Here is a 21,262-nt window from a genome sequence, read left to right on the forward strand (position 1 = left end):
GTGGGTGCAGCCAGGAGAGAAGTCTCTTTTGACACCTGGTCCCATGGCCACCAAGGGTCCCAGGCAAGCCCCAAGCCCTCAGCCTCCAGCCCCATCTGTCTCTGCCTCCTTTTGCTCCATGCCTTTGGATTCTTCTAGCCCTCGATGCTCCCAGTGCAAATTCATGGCATAATGCTGCCTAGAATATGCACTCACTAACGACTTCCTGGGTGGTTGAGGTGGAGGGCTGGAGGATGAATGGATAGCTGGATGCTAGGAGGGAAAGTACGGATGAATGGAGGATGGGATGCATGAGGGTGGGTGGGCAGGAAGGAGGAAGTGTCATGGGATGAATGCGCTAGTGGAAAGATGGGATACCCTCCATCTGAGGACCAAGCCCAACACTGAAGAGAGGCCCAGGGTCCCCCTGCCTCTTTCACTTTCAGGTCACGCTGCTCCAGTTCCACCCAAACCCAGGGAAGGAGACCCAGAAAAAACAAAGATGCCCCAAAGAAGGTGCCTCTGCCCTGCCTTCACTCTGAGTTGCCTCTTCCCCATCTCCTTGGCATCCTCAAGTTGAGTAGAAACTGAGCTTCCCCCTCCGAGTGTACAGAGAGCCCTGACCCTACAGGACAGACAGAGCAAGAGGCCAGTGTGTGGAGCAGGGGACTGGGGAGCTGCAGAGGAGGAGAGGGCTCCTATTCCTGGGGTGGCGGGGACACTGGGAGAGAAAGGGAACTCTAGCACCCTCTGCCGGAGCCACTGGGCCCAGACAAGGAGAAAGTGCTATGAGGGGCGGGCCACTGAAAGCTTCAGGAAACAGATGAGAGGGACACCCTCTGCTGAGTCCCCTGCACTGGACAATTGACACATGACTCAGTTCAGTTCAAGAAGTGACTAAAGACCCAGGTTGCCCGGTTGAATTCCAGCCCCACCCCTTACAAACTGTGGTTCTTGAACAAGTTACTTGTCCTGCCCCATAGGGATATTGTGAGGATGAACGGACACAACTCACATCCAGCACTGCACAGGGCTCCTGGCTACACGCTCCCCGCATGACAGTGTGTGGTCACCGTCGTTGTTATCATCATCCCCCAAGCACATTTTGCACCCCCACCAGCTTCCAGGCACTGGGTACAGATACTATTAGTTCTCTGGTCCGAAAAGTTCAGGGTCTCTTCATGGAGATATACCATAAAAAAAAGCATTGCAATATACAATTTCAGTGTAAGTGACACAGAAATGAACAGAGGAACATGGGAGCACAGAGGCTTCTTGAGAGGTTGCTCTTAGCTGAGTGTCGGTCTAGTCGAGATTTCATCACAACCCTAAAACCGGGTATTATCATTCCCATTTTGCAGATGAAAAAACTGAAACATGACATGTAGTTCGGGAGGAAAAATTAAAGGAAAGGAGTGAGAGGAACTTAGGGGGAACCAGATCAATACCCAAGACCCAGGTGCAGGAGGGAGAAGGATGTGGGCTGCGGGAAGGGACAGAAGGACATCAGGATGTCCCTCACCAGACCAAAGCATGGCGCTCAGATCACCTGGGTGTTGCTAAAAGTCAGATTTGGGGTTTGATAAATCAAAGCTTCCAGTGAGAGGACCTGGTACCTATCTATTTAGCAAGCTGATTAGATTAGCACTGTGGCCTAATCTAATGGCACCAGGTCAGTGAATTGGTGCTGAGAGGGATGACTGGTTTTGGGTCCTCTCCACAGATCCCAGCCGCATATGGAGGGCCTGAAAATGTCCAGATTGAGGACTCACACACCAGTCAAGCCATCTGTCTGCAAGATGCACCCAGTGGACAGCAGCTGGCAGGGCTTCCCAGGTCCCAGCAACAAAGGCATCTTCCTTTCTTTTTGGAAAAGAAGGGGGAAAGTTCCAGGAAACATAGGTACCCCCAGAGCATGTGGGAGCCAGAAGGGAAGGAGCTTCAGCTAGACCAGGAGGAAAGAGCCCCATGGATTGAGATCTTCCTGGGGAACTCAACACCCAGCACCCAGGGACAGGGGAAGGGGGCTATGGGCACTCAGAAGGAGGTGATAGGGATGGAGGCTGAGGTCACAGGGGTTCTGCTGGTTGCAGAGGGTCAGAGAACAACAGAGGGGACTCACAAAAAGGAAGCAGAGTGGAGTCACGTCCAGAGGCTGCTGATGCCCAGCCCCAGAGGGGCTGTAGAGGGAGCAGTATCAGGGAGCAGGCAGGGGTCGGGGGGCTCTAGCATCCTGGGGGAGCCCTGGGTCCTTCAGGGACACGCAACAAAGGAAGACTCTACCGTGGAGAATCCACAAGTGCAAACAGAAGTGACCCTTGTGGCCAGAAGGGAGGAGCAAGCCGAGGTGTCCCTGCAGGACGAGATCAAGGTGAGAACAGTTGAGCTCCATACCTGGTTATTTGCCCCTGTCTGACCTGGCCCACAGATGAGGGTCTGCAATGGTAGCCTGGGACCATTCCCTCCCACGGGTCAATTTTTATTGGCCCACTCAGGATTATTATTTGGGGATGCCTTTGAAAGCCATACATTCTTCAGGTCCCCACAGTCCCCGCCTCTCCCTATTGCCCCACGCTAGACCCACTTTATTCGGCAATACTTCTTGCCCAGCCCCAGTAGGCTTTGGAGTTTGAGATCCCTTCCCAGCAGTTCTTCCAGGCAGTCACTTCCTCTCTCCAGTTCCATATCCTCATGATGGTAAGTCTCTTCCCGAAATCTAAGTTCTACTGTTGCAGAGCCCACCTAGTTGCTCCTGTGGTGGATGCTTCTCCTGGAGGTCACTCAAGATTGTCACCAAGCCTCCCTTCGGCCTCCACCCAGGAACTTGCAAGTTTCTGAGTTTACAACTTCCACCCTTCAGTGAAGGAAGAAACCGTGGCCCAGGCACACCCAGAAGCAGGGCCTAGGACAGAGCCAGGCATCACAGCTCCCAGCACTGTCCCCAGCCCTGCCAGGGCATGGCCTGGGGTCTCTCGGGAATGTTGTTCAGGTCAGCCCCAGCACTGGGGTCTCTGCCCTTCTCCTTCAGCCTCCTTCTCCCCTCCTTCCACCCCACAGAGCCTCAGACTTGGGCTCCGGAAGGCTGAGGAGCAGGCCCAGCGCCAGGAGCAGCTGCTGAGGGAGCAGGAGGGGGAGCTGCAGGCACTTCGGGAGCAGCTCAGCAGGTAACCTTGGCAACCCACAGCACAGGGCACCTGGAAGTGCTCCCTAGGTCCTGCTGTCAATCACGGTCAAGCCAGTGAGGTCTTGTGAGAACCTCCCATGCACCAGGCCCTGGACTGGGCACACCTTTGGGATCTGAGGCCTGCAGGGCATTGCTCCTGATCCCAGGGCTCCACCCTCCCTCCTCTGTGCATCCCTTTCTCGTAGGTCTCCCAGAGCAGGAGCAGCCCCAGGAAAGGCCCCGCCTCCTGGCCTGCTTCCTTCCCACCCTCACCCCTGCCTCCCTCTGCTGCCTCCCCTGGGCAGCTCCTCTCTCTTTTTCACCCTCTCTGCCTCCCTACTCCACTGGACTTCTTTCCCCCATCTCTTTCTGTCTCCCTTTTTTACTCAGTTTCTTTGTGTCTCATTTGCTTCTTCCTGTTATGCCACCTCTCACCCTCTCATAATCACAGCTATCATTTACTAAGCATTTACTACGTCCCAGGCACTGCTGTCGGTGCTTCTGCGTAACACCCTTATGAGATGAGTTCTATAGAACCCCCATTTTATAGAGGAGGAAGCTGAGGCTCAAAGATGCTGCACAATTCACCCACCATTGGCTAGTTAGCGGGGGAGCTGAGATTCAAGGCCTGCAGCTGACTCCAGAACCAGTGGGCTCAGACGCCCCATTCAGGCAGCATGTCGAGTGCCTGCACTTCAGTCTCTCCGTTTCTCCTGCTCAGTGTCTCTCACCATCCAGTGTCTTCATCTTCCGTCATCACATTGACCTCAGGGGCCCACAGCACGCTGTCTGTCTCTACCATCCCCCCTCAGTCCTCAGTCTCTCAGGTCTCAGTTTCTCTCTCTCTCTCTCTCTTTCTTTTTGTAGAGACGAGGTCTCACTACATGGTGCAGACTGGTCTCAAATTCCTAGGCTCAAGCTTCAGCCTTCCAAAGTGCTAGGGTTGCAGGCATGAGCCACCACACCCAGCCCATAATTTATTTTTTAAAGTCTCTTCTCACTGCAGAGATCTTCCGTGGCCTGACTCAGCCTCTCTGTGTCTCTCTCCTGTGGTCTCCGGGTACGTCAGTCTGCCCACCTGCCCCTGTCTCTCTCTCCCACATGGCTAACACCTGCCCCAGGTCCAACAGACACCAGTCGGACCCCAGCAGAGCCTGAGTAGCTGTGATTCAGCCTGAATCACTAGGAAGCCTTCTGGCTGTCTGCTTCGCAGGTGAGAGAGGCCCAGGAGCCCAGAAACCAACCCAAAAGGACCCCCAGGCTCCTCCCACTCCACACTCAGCTGAGCACACAGTGTGGTCGCAAAGGTTTCCACGATTCAGGGCAAAATGAACATGGGGGTTCTGGCCACACAAGAGTCTTCAAGGGTTCAAGACAGTCTGGGAGGAGCAGCTGGGAGGTTATAGAGAGATGGCCTGGCCCTGGCTGCTCCTTTTACTGGGGACCCTGTCTCACAGACCACAGTGCTCCGGCCACCTGTCACTCATCATTCAGTCATTCCACAAACACCCTGTGCACCCACTCTGAGCCAGGCCTGTCCTAGGTATGGGAAATCCTCTCACAGACAAAACAGGCCAAACGCCTGCCCTCATGGAGCTTGCATTCTAGTGGAGGAGGCAATAAAAGTGATTAGCAAGTAAAGTACCTAGGATATCAGATTGGAATAAGTTCTAAGAAGAAGACATAAAGCAGACAAGAGGAATGGGACATGTTGGTGTGGTATTTTACATTTTAATAAGGTAATATGGCCAGGGAAGACCTCCCTGTAAATGTGACATTGACCTAAAGACCTGAAGGAAGTGAAGATCAAGCCCTTTGACTATTCGGTAGAATGTTCCAGGCTGCGAGAACAGCAAAAACAAAGGCCCTGATGGAGGACGGGCAGGGCAGGTTCTAGGAACATCCAAGGAGGCCTTCCGGGCCCCAGTAGAGTGAGGGAGGGAGAGGATGTGGGAAAAGGTCAGGTGAGCCAAGGAGGCAGGTTAGGGAGAGCCTGCGAGGTCATCGGAAGTGCCTCGACTTTGACTCAGAGGAAGATGGGAGCCACTGAGAGCTCAGAGTAGGAGAGAGACTTGACTTTTTTTAATGTCAAAAAGATGTTTACATGCTTTTTCAAATGCTTAACAATTAAATGGTTTTTAGTATATTTAAGAGTTATACATCCACCACCTCAATCAATTTCAGAACATTTCCATCTCCCCAAAGAGAAACCCTGTACCCATTAGCAGCCACTCCTCATTCCTTTCCCAGCTCTAGGTAACACCAGTCCACTTTCTCTATAGATCAGCCTGTTAGAGGCTGGCATGTTTTTTGTTGTTGTTGGTTTTTTTGTTTTGTTTTGTTTTTGTTTTTGAGACAGAGTTTCGCTCTTGCTGCCCAGGCTGGAGTGCAGTGGCGACATCTCGGCTCACCGCAACCTCCGCCTCCTGGGTTCAAGTGATTCTCCTGCCTCAGCCTCCCGAGTAGCTGGGATTACAGACACCTGCCACCACGCCCAGCTAATTTTTTGTATTTTTAGTAGAGATGGGGTTTCATCATGTTGGCCAGGCTGGTCTCAAACTCCTGACCTCAGGTGATCCACCCACCTTAGCCTCCCAAAGTGTAGAGATTACAGGCATGAGCCACGGTGCCCGGCTTGATGTGCGTTTTAAAGGCCCCTTGGAGCTGGCCTGTTAGCAGGCAAGCTGAACACAGGGAGTCCAGCGAGGACCCTGCCATGCAGGGGAGAGTTGGGGTGCTCAGACTGGGCTGGCAGCATGGAGCAAGGAGAAGCTGCCGGGCTTTGGATGAAGTGTGAAGTAGAACTTCCTGAGGAATTGGATATGCTGTATGAAAGAAAGACAGAAGTTGAGAATGACTCTAAGCTTTTTGACCTGATCAGCTGGAAAGCTAGAGTCACCATTAACTGAAGTGTGTGGGCTGTGGCAGGGCAGATTTGTAGGGAAAGTTCAGAGCTTGGTTTTGAACACGTTACGTTTGAGATACCTGTTAGACATGTCAGACGGGAGCCGCTGGGCAAGCAGTTAAGTGTGGAACTCAGGAGGGAAGTGTGCGCTGGGAGATCGATCCTGGAGTCCTCAGAGTAAGGATGGTGAGTAACAGCTGACCCTGAGGCTCAGAAGAGGATGTGCTACCCTGATGCCTGGGAGCCAGGGAGCTAAGGACAAAGCTCACTCCCGGGAAAGGAGCCCGTGGGCATCAAGCTGGTGATGAGTTCCTCAACACAGAGAATAGAAGTGCCGAGGGACCCATTCATTCCATGGACATTTAGTATGCTTCTACAATGGCCATGAGCAGGTGTGGTGAACAAACTTGGCCCAGCCTGCTCTAGAAGACCTGGGACAGATAAACAGATAGCAATCCAATGGCCATTGGATGGATGCTAGGGAAAAAAACAAAGGCAGGGAAGGGCGCGGAGAAAGACAGGATAGTCATTCAGACTGGGGTCCAGAAAGTCCTCTCTGAGGTGACATTTGAGCAGAAGCCCCAACCACATGAAAGACTGGACCATGCAAATATCTAGTGAGAAGTGCTGTGGCCAGGGGAATGTCCGGAAGACATGCGTTTGTTGACAGGCAGGCCAGATGCATACGGGGTGTGGCTGAGCAGAGGAGAGAGCGGCAGAGCCGGAGCCAGGGGCCTCAAAGGCAGAGTGAGGCACCGGAATTCTCTGTGCTACCAGAGGCTGGGGCAGGGTTTAGAGCAGGGGCGTTTCTCCGTCTGACTTCTGTGTTTAAAGGCTCACTCAGGCTGTGGTGTGGAGGACAGTGGAAGTGTGGTAGAAGTCCCGTGCAGAGCACAGGCTGGGGGCAGAGGTGAGCCACAGCTGACCTGAAGGCGGCAGGCTTCAGGCAGGCCCATGGGGCTGTGAAAACGGACTTTGGGCTAAGACATGGGGCTTCCAACATCCACCTCACAGCTTTCTAGCTGTGGGCCCCTGGGGACAGTGGTCTGCCCTCTCTGGGCCTCAGGTCCCTGATTTGCAAAAGGAGACGGTGGGATAGCTAAGGTTCCTCCTCCCAGCTCAGATGCTCATGGGGCCATCTTTCCAAGCAGGTGGGTGTCCTCTGCGCTGGGAATAAGACCTCAAGCCAAAGAAATTAGGACAAGCATCAGCCAAAGAGGTCCTCAGGATGGGGAACTAGGCAGATGTCACATGACCCCCAGCCCCTGCACAGCAGCACTGAGCTCCTTGGAGTCCTGCCAGGCTCCATCAGCATCCTTCCCTCCCTCCCTCCCACCTGCTGCCCACTTGGCACCAGTGCCAGGAATCACTGGTGATCAGGGCCTTACCTGGGTGAAGGTGTAGGGAGGCAAAAAGAGTTTTGATCTGGGCTGGCCTGTGTCCAGATTTCTGCCCCCTCCACTCATCAAGCTATGTGACCCTGGGCAAGTGTCACCCCCTCTCTGAGGTTCTATTTTTCTCTCTTGTAAAATGAGGATTATATTATCTGTCTCCTAACATTGTGAAAACTAAATGAATGGGGCTATAAAACACCAAGCTCAGGCCTGGCATATAGTAAGTGCTCAGTAAACTAATTCCTTCCATGCTTCCATGTCCCCTCGTGTGCTAGGAGTATCCATCACCCCCTGATTAAAATACTTCAGGGGCTCCCCATTTCACTGAGATTAACATCTACTTTTCCTGGGCCACTGACAGACAGCTCAGGTCCTGCCCACCTCCCCACTCTTCTCCTACCTTCCCTGCCCCCCACTGCCCTTTGTGGCAGCCCAGATTCACTCATCTTCTTTCAGTTCCTCAAACAAGCTCAGCTCCTTCCAACTTGCAGACCTTTACATGTGCCCATGCCTGGCTCTATATTGCTGACTTTTCATCTTCTGGGTCAGCTTCCATTTCACCTTGTCTGAGAAGCCTCTCCAAGAACCCTCCCTGGTCTCTGTCTTAGCCTCTCGTTTGTCTCTGTCATAGCACTTAGTTTAGTTATTTTATGAGTCTATCATTTATTTTACCCCTGCCCCAAACACTGTAAGATCCATAGGCTCTGCTTTATTCCTGGCACCTAAACATCCCTTGGCACACAGTAGGTGCTAAGTAAGTGTTCTCTCCCACCCCAGAGACACATGTACACACCACGGTGATCACATTAAGGGCCCAGGATCACAGGGCAAGTAAACTGGCTCAGGAAAATTAAAGTCAGCAGCTAAGAAATGAGGTGCCAAAAGACTAGAATGTTCATTAAAATTAAAAACATGGCCCTGCTTCGTGCCTGAGCACCAGAACGCTCTTGGGGTTGCAGTGACTGAACTCTTTGGAATGTCAGTGGCTGAGCTGCTGACAGTTTGATGTCATGGCCCACCCAACTTTCTTCCCTGCAACATGCTAAAAGGGGGTGTTTTAAAATTACATGTTCAATTCATTGTCAAGCCTCTTGCAAGCCTCTTCCGCTCAAACACACTCAAGCCCCAGGACACACACTGGCACAGACACGTACATGCATCCTGAGCGCTGGGACTCTCACGCATGCCACCTGCCATTGCAACGCCCTCCCAGCTGAGCCAGGGGCCTCCCAACTGAGCCAGAGGCTGGGCCCTGGGGCCAGGTCTTTTTTATTTCCAGTCCAGTGGTCTTCTTGGAACCTTTCAGAAAACCACTACACACAAAAAGAAAAACCAAGAGTGGAGCTGAGACGCCACCAAGCCCAAAACTAAAACAAATTTAGGAAAGCCATATTTTTACTATTACTTTTTTAATTGAAAAGACAAGGTAACATAACTTTTTAAAATATTTTAAAGCAAAACACCACCTAAATCCTTCACTGCTCCCCTTCCACACACAATTATTTCCAGCTGGGCACCGACCATCCAGCCTGGGTTCCCAGGCGTCTGCCTTCCCTCCAGAGAGCTGCCATGATGGTGAACACACCTTTCAAGAAAGTTACATCTTAAATGGAAATGTTTAAAAACAAAGCCGGGAGGAGGAAATGTTGGCTCATCCCCTCCCTCTAAAGGAAAACTCAAGGCAGGGCCCTGTTTTCATTTCTCTGAATGGTTGGTGAGGAGTCAGTTCGTAGGTGTCAGGCCACACACACTGTGCAGTTCAGTGTGTGGTGTGTATATTGTATGTGTGTGTGTAAACGCACATACATTGTGTGCATGTTGTGTTGTGTGTCTGCATTATGGATGTCTGTTGTGTGTGTTGTGCAAGTGTGTGTTTATATGTTGTGTTGTTTGTGTTCTGTTTATGTGTGTGGTGTGTGCATTATATATGTGTTGTGTGTATTGTGTTGTGTGTGCGTTAAGTCTGTTGAGATGTGTCGTGTGTTGTGGTGTGTGTACGTATTGCATTATATGTATAAATTATATGCATGTAGCATTGTAAGTGTGTCTTCTGTGTTGTGCGTATGTGTTCTGTTATACTATGTGTGTATTAGGGTGTGTGTTGTGTTGTAGGCATGTGTGTGCTGTGTGTGTGTGTGTTTGTGTGTGTGTGGACTTCAGCTGCCGGGGGCATCACCAGCGTCTCCCATGGGCTCCCTCTCTGGAAGAGGCTCAGCCTAGCTCAGGCACAAAGGCTGAGCTTTGCCCCCTGAGAACCTAGTCTTCCTTCTGTACCCAGGTGTCAGGAAGAGAGAGCCGAGCTGCAGGCACAGCTGGAGCAGAAGCAACAGGAGGCTGAGAGGAGGGATGCCATGTACCAGGAGGAGCTTGGAGGGCAGCGGGACTTGGTCCAGGCCATGAAGAGGCGGGTGTTGGAACTGATCCAGTAAGGACGGGGACAGTGGGAAAGGGGAAACAGATGGGGGAACGGTAAGGGATGTGGAGCCCGGAGCGTGAAAATTCTACTCCACTCACAACTCCCAAGCAGGGTTCTAGACCTTTTATATAAGCTAACCCTTCTGTTTCTTTTAGCCACTCCCTGCTGTTATCCCCATTTTACAGAAAAGGAAACTGAGGGTCAGAAATAAGGCAGACTTGGCCAGGCGCAGTGGTTCACACCTGTAATCTCAGTACTTTAGAAGGCCAAGGTGGGCGGATAATGAGGTCAGGAGTTCAAGACTAGCCTGGCCAATGTAGTGAAACCCCATCTATACTAAAAATACAAAAATTAGCCAGACATGGTGACGTGTGCCTGTAGTCCCAGCTACTCAGGGGGCTGAGGCAACAGAATCACTTGAACCTGGGAGGCAGAGGTTGCAGTGAGCCAAGATCACACCACTGCACTCCAGCCTGGGCGACAGAGTGAGAATCCATTAAAAAAAAAAAAGGCAGACTTAGTCATCTAGGACACATAGCATATAAATTGTATAGAGTCCCCTGAAAATAATGCACACCCCCACCCAGACCCACCCCCACATACACACACCTACTAAGGTTAGGGAGGAGAAAGGAACCATGGGTTGAGAAGGAATTGGGAGAAGGAGGAAAAAGACACCAGGGAGAACCCAGAGGTGATCACGTGTCCTACACCTGCCTGCCCACGGGACTTCCTCAGACCCTGGGCCTGTGGACCTGCCCTAGGTCAGCTGTCCTAGGTTCCAGACATTGGGCTCACCAGGGTCAGCTCCAAACCACTAAGCTCACTGAGAGATGGGGAAGATGCGGAAAGCATAGTTCCTGCCCTTTAGTTGAGTAGAAAGAGAGTTCACATACATATGTTATCCTCTCATACAGTTCAGGAAACAGGAGACCAGTGGACTCAGGTTCCATTAAAATTTGAAGGTTGCTAAGGGTTTTTTGTTTGCTTGTTTTTTTTTTTTTAACGGAGTCTCGCTCTGTCCCCCAGGCTGGAGTGCAGTGGCGCCATCTCAGCTCACTGCAACCTCTGCGTCCCGGATTCAAGCGGTTCTCCTGCCTCAGCCTTCCAAGTAGCTGGGACTACAGGTGTATGCCACCATGCCAGGCTAATTTTTGTATTTTTAGTAGAGATGGGATTTCACCATGTTGGTCAGGCTGGTCTTGAACTCCTGACCACAAGCAATCCACCCAGCTCGGCCTCCCAAAGTGCTAGTATTTCAGGTGAGGGGTCATTTAGAACTAAATCCTCTTACACAATATCCAAATGGTATTAAGGGTGAGAAAAAGGAGACATCAACTTGGAAATGACAAACAAATAATTTAAGGAATAGTTCCTCCAAAGAATTTACTGTCAATTGGGAGGAAGAGAGATATAAAAAGTGAAGTATTGACCTCATGAAAGAATTTAAGGTAGCCAACAATAAAAGACATATATATATGATTGTTAAAGAAAACTAGAAAATTAAATGGAACATGGCCGGGTGCAGTGGCTCACAGGCCTGTAATCCCAGCACTTTAGGAAGGTGAGGTGGATGAATCACCTGAGGTCAGGAGTTCAAGACCAGCCTGAACAACATGGTGAAGCTCTGCATCTACTAAAAATACAAAAATTAGCTGGGCGTGTTAGCGGGCACCTGTAATCTCAGCTATTCAAGAGGCTGAGGCAGGAGAATCACTTGAACCCAGGAGGCGGAGGTTGCAGTGAGCCAAGATCGTGCCACTGCACTCCAGCCTGAGTGACAAGAGTGAAACTCCATCTCAAAAAAGAAAGAAAGAAAGAAAATTACGTGGAACATATAATAGAAAACAAAACGTATATATCCCCAAAGTGTTAGGATTAGGGTTAGCATTAGAACTCAGCACTGAGCATATTGGTAGCAGGATCAAAAAGGGAAAGACAGAGTAACTAAATCTCACTTCCCATCCAAAGAAAATATACTAGTTCATCAGCACTAGTTTCCCAGTGCAAAGGTGATTAATCACAGGTTCTCAGGCAGGAGACATTAAACTATGTAATACAATGTCCCTGGCAGAAGCTTATGGAAAATACGACCCTAAGCAAAAAACAAAAAGAAAAAGGAAAAAAAAATAGCCACCAAGGTTGACTTCTGCGTCGGGATGGTGGACTGCCCACATCTTATCTATTCTCCATCCTGAAATTTCTCTAAAATGACTATAAAAGACTAAAACTTAAAACGGAGAGAAAAGTGGAGGAGCTAACCACAGAGGAGAGATTTCAGCTAATTTCCAGAAGTTGGAAAATGGTTGGAGAAGTGGATACTGTGTGAAGCCCAAGTTTTTTGTAGGATCCAGAGATCCCAGAGCCACACATGGCAGAAGTGAGATGAGGAATAAAGTCATTAGAAAGAGCAATCCATACCTGCTGCCTTCTGCCTGCCTCCCCACATGCAGAATATCCAGCACTCAGGGGCCTATCTCCCAAGCAAATGATCAAAAGATCCTTCACTAAAGGAATTCAAGTGCCCCAAATAAAAGACCAGTTTGTCCTGGCATTTGGGTGTCTGGTTGTAGCAGGTAGCTCCCTGCCCAGTCCCCACTAAAGGGAAGCCACTAGTCAACCATTCCTGTCCACTATTCGGAGTTCTAAACAGATTTTATTGCCTCTTTCTTACACATAAAATGACAACCAAGGATCCCCAGATATTTGAGGAGAGTCTAGAATATAAAGGGAAGAGATGAAGATAAACAAAGGAAAAAGATCCATCTTCCATGAAACAGGATGCTATAAAAAGCAGCTGTCAAAAGATGAAAAACATTCTTGGAAATTAAAAATTAAATTAAAATTATGATCACTGAATTTTTTTCAATTCACTAAAATGATTAGAAGAGAAAGATGAGGCAGTCTCTTAGAAGGTAGAATAAAAAGCACAGAGAGATGGGAGTCAGGAGAGAAATAATTAGACATACAGATAATCAGTCTCTGAGTTCCAATGTCCTTTCTAACTGTGAGGAGAGAAACAAATGAAACATAGCAAAAATTAAGATGTGAGAGAATTCCCCAGCTCTGATGGACACAGATCTTCAGATTTGAAGATTTCACTGAGCAAAGGAATGAAAAACAAAACAAACAAAGCCCACAGTTAGATACATCATTATGAAATTTCACTAAGACAGATAAGGAGAATGTCCTAAGATTGTCCAGAAAAAAAGACAGATCACCTATAAAAGAAGTAGAATCCAACCATGTAAACAGTCTATGGTGCAATTCTTTTCAAGTTCTGAGAAAAACTGACTTTTGCCCTAGAATCTTGTTTCCAGACAAACCATGAATTAAGTGGGGGAGGTGGTGGAGTAAAGACATTTTCACATAGACAGATTTCAGAAAATTTGCCTCCCACATAGCCTTTCATAGGAAGTTAGTTGAGGATGTGCTCCAGAAAAACAAGGAAGTAAGCCAAGAAAGGAGAAGATGTGGAATTCAGGGGAAAAAAAATAGCTCTAGCCTAGGAGAGAAGAAAAGGGAATTCCCAAGATGACAAGTGGGCAGCAATCCCAGGGAGCAGTCAGTCTAGACTGTAGCAGAAGGACCAAGGACCCAGGAGGAAGGTTTCTGGAGAGAAAGGGAATCAAGAGAGCACCTGAAATGATGAAAAATTGGGAGGAAAATAATATGTTAAAGGCAAGTAATGCAAGGAAAAAAGAAAGGCAATTAAAAACTCCCAGAAAACCAAAAGCCTTCCAAGAAGGAAAATGTTGTAGAAGACATCTTAGCTCTTTGGGAAGAAATATATATATGTATTATCTAATAATGTAAATATTATTCATTAATTTTTTTCAGTGTTAGAATCAACTTAAAAGCAAAGCACAGAAAGCAATTATGTAATTATAGAAACAGAACATAAATGCTACCACCTTAACAATATTATGTATAGAATAGAATCCAATAGAATGTTCTATAAAGGTTGTATATTTATGCTGTCCAGTATGGTAGCTGATAGTCACATGTAGAGATGGAGCACTTGAAATATTGACCTGGTGCAACTAAGGAACTAAAGTTTTTATTTTATTTATTAATATTTTAATTAAATTAAATGTAAATAGCCACATGTGGGGTAGTGGCTACCATTTTGGATGCTGTGAGAAAAGACGGCAAGTTAGAAGGTGGAGGAAAGAGGTGAGATGAAAGGAAGAGATGCTGCATCATCATATTACAGAACAGGAGTCATAAGGATACTACCTATAGTTAGTAGATGAAGAAATGAATACATGAGTATATTCTGTAAAAATTACAATGGTAGGCTAGGCATGGTGGCTCATGCCTGTCATCCCAGCACTTTGGAAGTCCAAGTCAGGTGGATCTCCTGAGTTCAGGAGTTTGAGACTAGCCTGGCCAACATGCTGAAACCCCATCTCTACTAAAAATACAAAAATTAGCCAGGCATGGTGGCACATGCCTGTAATCCCAGCTACTTGGGAGGCCAAGGCAGGAGAATCACTTGAACCCAGGAGGCAGAGGTTGCAGTTAGCCAAGATCATGCCACAGCACTCCAGCCTGGGTGACAGAGGAAGACTCTGTCTCAAAAAGAAAAAAAAAATTACAATGGTAGCCAATAGAGGAACCAAAAATAGGAATATAACTATGTTAGGAGGGTGAGTTAGTGAGGATGGTAATAAATAAGCTAAATCCTCTGATATCAAAAGGAGGAGCTCTATAGAGAATGTTCTCTATTGGTAAACAAAGAAGGAAATATAGGAGCATATTACTTAAATTTGGAAGTAATTTCAAGGAGAGAAAGCAAAAAGACGTCAGAAATGGTTTGCCACTGAGAACAAGAAAGAGAGGGGAGGCCTTTTGATATGAGCACTTTTGTACGATTTTATTTTTAAATCATATGCATGTATTATTTTGATAAAAATTTAAAACAACCCGTCTTCCTAAATATCCTTACAAGAGGGAGTGAAGGTGGGGAATGGTGGTTCATGCCTGTAATCCCTGCACTTTGGGAGGTTGAGGCAGGGTTCAAGACCAGTCTGGGCAACATGTCGAAACCCCATCCCTACAAAAGATTAGCCAGGCACGTGCCTATAGTCCCAGCTACTCAGGAGGCTAAAGTGTGAGGATCACCTGAGCCCAGGAAGTAAAGGCTGCAGTGAGCTGTGATCATGCTACTGCACTACAGCCTGGGCAACAGAGTGAGATGCTGTCAAAAAAAAAAAAAAAGAAAAGAAAAAAGAAAAAAGCAGTGAAATTAGTTTTGCAAGGGCATACATGTAAATAAATACAAGACAGTTTGTACTAAGTGCCAGATAAGAGACAGTAGGCAAGATGTGCTGTAAGTGTCTGGAGCAAGAAACCCCAGGGGCCTCTGTGATCAGGGAACACTCCTTTGTGCTTAAATAATGGGTCCTTAAATCATGGGTCAAGGTTATTTTGGGCAAAGAGGAGGCCAGGTGTCAGTTGCATTCTGATCTCTTGCATGTGTCTCTCACTGTCTCTTCATTTCTCTCCGTCTTTCTCTGGCCCCTATGTCTCTTTCTCTATCTCTCCATCTGTCTCCATATCTGTGTCTTCTCCTCTGTCTCCATTTTCTCTGTCTCTGTGTCTCTTTCTCTGTGTGTGTCTCTCTCCCTCTATATATCTCTCAACTTCTCTATGTCACTCTCTGTCTCTCTCCAATCCTCTCTCTCTCTCTCTCCCTCTTTCCCCTTCTCTCCACCCCTCTCTCTCTCTCTGAGTAACCATCTTTCTCTGTCCATCTTTGTATCCCTCCCCATTGCTGTGTCTCTATCTGCGTCTCTGCTCTTGTTTCTGTCCCTGTCTCTGAATCTCTTTTTATTTCCGTATGTGTCCATGTGATTCCCTCCATCACCCTCTCTGTCTCTCTCTTCCTCTCTGTGTGATTCCGTCTGTTCCTCTCTGTCTCTCTGTCTGGGTCTTTTCCCATTTCTATCTTTTGATCTCTGTCTCTGTCTGTGTCTCTCCACCTTCATCCCCCCATCAGAGAGAAGGACCGCCTGTGGCAGAGGCTCCAGCATCTCTCTTCCATGGCTCCCGAGTGCTGTGTGGCCTGTAGCAAGATCTTTGGCCGATTTTCTCGGCGGTATCCATGCAGGTAAAGGGAAGGGCACAGAATCCTCCCTCTGGGACAGCCCAGTTTCCACCAGCTGACAGCCCCCACCCACCCCAGGGAAGGGAGGGACACAGGAACTGGGTGTTTATAAAAGGCCACTTACAGCTGACTACTCATTCTACCACATCTGGCTTCCAACACTAAGCAGAGCCATAAAGGAGAAGAGCAGAAGGATCAGATAAGGAATGGGGTCCGGGGAGTGGGATTGGGTCCCCCTCCAAGAGCCGATTGAGAAATGGGCCTCTCATCTGGAAGGGAGCATCTGTACAGCGTAAGCTGCTCCCCCTCCTTCCTCTGTGAGCACAGTGCTAGGACCAGCCTTGGGAGAGAGGAAAGTGAGCCACCAGGAGAAGCTGCCATGTGGAGGTGGAGGCTCTGGAGGGGTCGGGCATCAGGACACCCTTCAGGAGAGGGGAGACCTCCTGAGACAAACCAAGGGCATTCCACTGGGAGATGAGAAACAGATGTCTCAGGTGGACCTGAAGATGCTGGAACTCCATGACCTCAGCGCCCACTTGGGGAAGTGCCAGCTGCAGAGGCCGCCCCAGGCTTTCCTGCCTCTGCCTTCCAGGCTCTGTGGAGGCCTGCTCTGCCATGCTTGCTCCATGGATTACAAGAAGAGAGACCGCTGCTGCCCACCCTGCGCCCAGGGAAGAGAAGCCCAGGTCACCTGACCAAGACCAAGACCAGCCCATGACTGGCCTCCCACCTGCCTGCCCATCCCACTCAATCCACTCCCTGCCCGTAGCTCTTCCCAGCCCTCTTGTTTGTCCAGTCCTCATTCTAGACACTGAAGATCTAAGGCACCAGCACTTCTGTGGGCAGAGTAGGGTGTGGGGAGTGGTTCCAGCCCTGCAACTACCACAACGAGCCAGGTGACTTTGGCGAAGCTCTCAGTGCTCAGGGCTTCTTCTCTAATGTTAAGAGTTGGGCCCCATCCTCTCTAAAGTCCCTCTGGGCTCAGCAAATCCATGACTGTGGATAAGACCCCAGCAGCCCTGACATTTCTCCTCCACACTCCCCACTCACCCAGCAGCGGTGCCCACCTTTCCTGATTCACGAGAAGTGAAGCCTGCACTATCTTGGACTCTCCAGCAGCTTCCTGTCTGGAGTCAGCTTCAGGGATCTGTGTTTGTGTTGCTGTGTTTCTTTTTATGTTTATTGAAGTACTACTGACATATGATAAACATCACAGAGTGTACAATTTGATGAGTTTTGATTTTAACAAACACCAATGAAACCGTCTTCATAAACATATCTATCCACCCCAAAGTTTCCTTGTGCCCCTTTGTGGTCTCCCTCCCTTCCCTTCCCTCCATACCTAGGCAAACACTGATCTGCTTTCAGTCACCACAGGCTAATGTGCATTTTCTAGAATTTTATGTAAGTGAAATCATACAGTATGCCCTCTTTATTGCCTGCCTTCTTCTGCTGAACTTAATGATGTTGAGATTCGTGTCTGTTGCTACATATATCAAGAACATATTTTATTGTCGAGTGGTATTCCACCGCATGGATATGCCACAGTTTGTCTCTACATTCACCTGTGGATGGACATCTGAGTTGTTTCCAACCTGGGGCTATTACAAATAAGATTCACATGAGTATCTGCTGACATACACTTGTTTCTCTTAGGTTTCTCTTGTGTAGACATATACTTGTTTCTCTTAGGTAAATTCCTAGGAATGACATGGGTGAGTCATTATGTTTAACTTTTTTTTTTGAGACGGAGTCTCGCTCTGTCACCCAGGCTGGAGTGCAGTGGTGTGATTTCATCTCACTGCAAGCTCCGCCTCCTGGGTTCTCGCCATTCTCCTGCCTCAGCCTCCCAAGTAGCTGGGACTACAGGCGGCCGCCACCACGCCCGGCTAATTTTTTGTATTTTTAGTAGAGACGGGGTTTCCCCATGTTAGCCAGCATGGTCTCGATCTCCTGACCTCGTAATCAGCCCGCCTCAGCCTCCCAAAGTGCTGGGATTATAGGCATGAGCCACCGCGCCTGGCCATGTTTAACTTTTAAGGAACTGCCAAACTATTGCCCAAAGAGGTTGTACACTTGCCCTTCCCACCAGCAGCATGTGAGAGTTTCTGTTGCCCCCACCCCACTCCCACCAGGACTCCTGCATTTGGAGGGCAGGAAAGAGGCACAGACACAGAACTTGGACCTCTCTGTCCTTTCCTACCAACCGCTATAGTTCTTTATTGATCTCAAGTTGAGAGTACCTGGAGGGAAAGGCTGAGTCTAGGTCACTCTCTGTGCAGTGTTCATTTGGCCAGACTTTGATAAGGACCATTGATGTGGACTATGTAGTACTGTGGCATAAGATCACATCCCTGTATTGTCCAAGAAGGCTTATGAAAGGGGTAGGTCATTCACTAGGCGCCTGATTGTGGTGCTTCTGAGAATAACTGTTTTGGAAGAAGTGCAGACCACACTCTATGATAAGGTGATTAGCTGCCCTACACAGGTTCTAAGACACATTTTGTGGCCCCCAACAGGCAGTCACACTGTCCTTATCTGCTCTGTCTTGCAGGCACTGCCAGAGCCTCCACAGCAGTTGGGCAATACTGTGGCTCTGACCAGAGCTCTGGACGGCTTCTTGGGGTTAGGCCGCCCAGATTGCATCCCATTACCTTCACATGGAACAAGAGTTTTGCAACAGTAGTTTCTGCCCTAGAGAGTTGGTGAGAACTTCTGCTTAGGAAACACAATAACAGGGTGAGGGGAGAAAGTGGGGGGCTCCTGGAGCAATCAGAGCAATAGAATTGCCACTACCCTAAAGGGCAGCAGTCCCTTTCTGGAAATGAGGCTTACTCACATGTCTTTACTAGGGCAGGATTCTTACTATAGCAGAAGAAGTCATATTCTAGCAGGAACTCCAGCACAAAATTCAGACCTTCCTGATGAATTGATTGGATGTTCGCGGGGTGGTGATGGGGGACTGGCTGAAGCCCATTTCACAGAGCAAGGAGGCTGCTCCTGGAAGAGAACTCATCAGATGGGAATCAGGGGCCAGGATTGGGGGAGCTGGACCTTCTCCCACTGTTTGGGGAAAAGAAGAGCAATGCTGAAGACCAACATCTAGCTCAACACTGCCCCTGAAGAGTCTGCACCAAGTCCAATGGAGAGCAAAAGAGTTCCAAAAAGAAATTAGAAAAGTCTGTTAGACTTTGGGGACTCTCAAGCAGAGAGACCCACAAAGATCACCATAGACCTCCCAGAGCCTGGCACTGCACGTGCACCCGTCCTTCTTCAGTGGTGACTCTAGGGTGCATGTCCAGCAACTGCAAAGCCCAGAGAAGCATGTGGGAGACACCCCTAATAGACTTCCCCAGTCCCTGAGGAGCACATTACAGGGCTGAAGCCCAGCATGAATGCATGGCCACCACAATCCAGGTTGTTGCTATTGACGTGACTTCATCTGTATTCATAGGCTGGGGATGCCCTGGGTAATTGGTGCAACATAATTATTTCTTTAAATTAGATGTCACTGAGATGCTCCAATGTACATCAGTTTCCCCTACCTGTCAATTCATTTAGTGCTCAACAAAAATGTATTAAGCATCTATGATATGCCAAACAATGATTGATTTGGAGATACGAAGATAAAAATATGAAAGCACTGCTTTCAAGAACCTTACCATGGGGGAAGGAGCAGCCAAATGGATGAGGAATTATAAACCCTTGGCTACATTTGCAAGGTAAAGGGAGAGTTGTCCAAACCAAAAGAGTGGGAAAGAGCATCCCAGGGAAAAGGGAAACACATGCCAAGACCCCAGAGGAAACTAGAACAGCCCCTTGGGGGTTGAGGGGACTGTAGGTGGTTCCCTGTGGCTGGAGTTAAGGGTTCCGTACTGGGGGTGGGGGGAGACTGAAGTGACAGGGTTGGAGAAGTAACAGGAGTTAGATGGAGGGTACCAGGTGACCGGCTCGGGAGTCTGACTTTACCTGAGTGTAACCAGGGTCCTTGATGAATTTTAAGAGGAAAAGAAAGTGATCAAATTCATATATTAGGAAGCTCGTTCTGGCAGTAGATTGGAGGGTGGGTTAAAGGGGGAACTATTTGAGGTAGAGAACATTTAGGAGAGGAGGGGGACGGGGAGAGGAGGAAGAGGAGGATGAGGAGCAACTAACAGAGCGAAGCATCATTCCAAGTGTTTATCAGTATAGACTCATTTAATCCACATAACAACCCCATGTAGGAGCTGCTCTCATTATATCCACTTCACAGATAATGAAACTGAGACCCAGTGAGATTAAATCACTTGACCAAAGTCCAGGACTAGGTAGATGGATTCTAACTCACACAGCCCAGTCTGGAACCCACAACTTTGCATGACCATTGCCTTAGGTGAAGTGAGAGAGAATAAAGTATTGCCTAACACTCTCAGTGAAGATGGTGAGGAGGAGATAGTCAGGAGTGTTCTTAAGGAGAGGAAGAGTAAGGAGCAGGTACATTTCTGGTTTGGCAGATGATTGAACAAGGAACCACTCAGGAGAAAGACGTGTCAGGAAATACAATGAGATTAGTTTTCTACATGCTGAATTTGCAAAATCTGTAGGCCCTCAGGGAGATTTAAGGAGATAATTGCATGTCAGAGTTTGGAGCTTAGGGGAGACACTTGTTGGGAGCAGTAGCTATGGGAGACTCTGGCACATGTCGGATGGCAGCTGAAGCCATGAAAACCAGTGGACTCACCAAGAGGGGGCAGTAGAGTGAAAAGAGAAGAAAACCAAAGTAGAATCCTCAGGAACCTCAATATTTGAGGAATAAGTTAAGAAATAGAGCAATAAACAAGACAAGAGAGGTCAAGGGGAATAGAGGAGAATGGGTTAGTGGGATTCAGTGATATAGAGATCAAGTAAGACCTGAACGGTAACTTTCCACCATAAATAAAGATGAAAAGCATACAGCAGGCAGGAAGAAAATATCTTAACATAATTGACAAATATTCAAAACATAATTATATAAAGAGCTCCTACAAATCAGTAACAAAATCAATCAATAACAAAATAACAATCCAAGGCTGGGCATGGTGGTTCACGCCTGTCCCAGCACTTTGGGAGGCCGAGGTGGGTGGCCAGGGATTCGAGACCAGCCTGGCCGACATGGCGTGAAACCCTGTCTCTACTAAAATTACAAAAATGACCCAGGAGTGGTGGTGAACACTTGTAGTCCCATCTACTCGGGAGGCTGAGGCATGAGAATGGCTTGAATTTGGAAGGCAGAGGTTGCAGTGAGCCAAGATTGCACTCCAGGCTGAGCAACAGA

The 21,262-nt window shown here is 48.5% G+C and overlaps 1 protein-coding gene across 10 annotated transcripts in view, besides 2 other annotated features; it reads left to right on the forward strand.

The window, feature by feature from the left end:
• Positions 1-17,262, forward strand: part of RUFY4 (RUN and FYVE domain containing 4) — a 55,719-nt gene extending 38,457 nt beyond the window's left edge. For 3 of the 10 annotated variants that reach the window (NR_034176.2, XM_017003895.2, NM_198483.4), the window contains 6 exons: positions 426-495; positions 1,703-2,350; positions 3,037-3,143; positions 9,720-9,866; positions 15,862-15,972; positions 16,562-17,194. Coding sequence is in view for 9 of the 10 variants with exons in the window: in XM_017003895.2 (XP_016859384.1) it covers positions 426-495; positions 1,703-2,350; positions 3,037-3,143; positions 9,720-9,866; positions 15,862-15,972; positions 16,562-16,664 (1,186 nt within the window). In the remaining variant the exon portion in view is untranslated. Of the gene's footprint in view, positions 1-425; positions 496-1,702; positions 2,351-3,036; positions 3,144-9,719; positions 9,867-15,861 lie in introns of all 10 variants that reach the window. The other 7 variants (XM_047444006.1, XM_047444008.1, XM_047444007.1 and 4 more) reach the window with 4 other exon arrangements.
• Positions 616-910: an enhancer, noted in NCBI's record as "tiled region #3825; K562 Activating non-DNase unmatched - State 13:Ctcf". NCBI's record gives its function as "activates a minimal TATA promoter and a strong SV40 promoter by Sharpr-MPRA in K562 cells {active_cell/tissue: K562}" and the evidence as "EXISTENCE:reporter gene assay evidence [ECO:0000049][PMID:27701403]".
• Positions 2,638-3,139: an enhancer, noted in NCBI's record as "H3K4me1 hESC enhancer chr2:218940751-218941252 (GRCh37/hg19 assembly coordinates)". NCBI's record gives its function as "activates a minimal SCP1, AML or CMV promoter by ChIP-STARR-seq in primed H9 embryonic stem cells {active_cell/tissue: H9 hESC(primed)}" and the evidence as "EXISTENCE:reporter gene assay evidence [ECO:0000049][PMID:30033119]".
• Positions 17,263-21,262: the final 4,000 nt, after the last annotated feature.

This window comes from Homo sapiens, chromosome 2 (assembly GCF_000001405.40).
Source record: "Homo sapiens chromosome 2, GRCh38.p14 Primary Assembly".
Taxonomy (NCBI): Eukaryota; Metazoa; Chordata; class Mammalia; order Primates; family Hominidae; genus Homo; species Homo sapiens.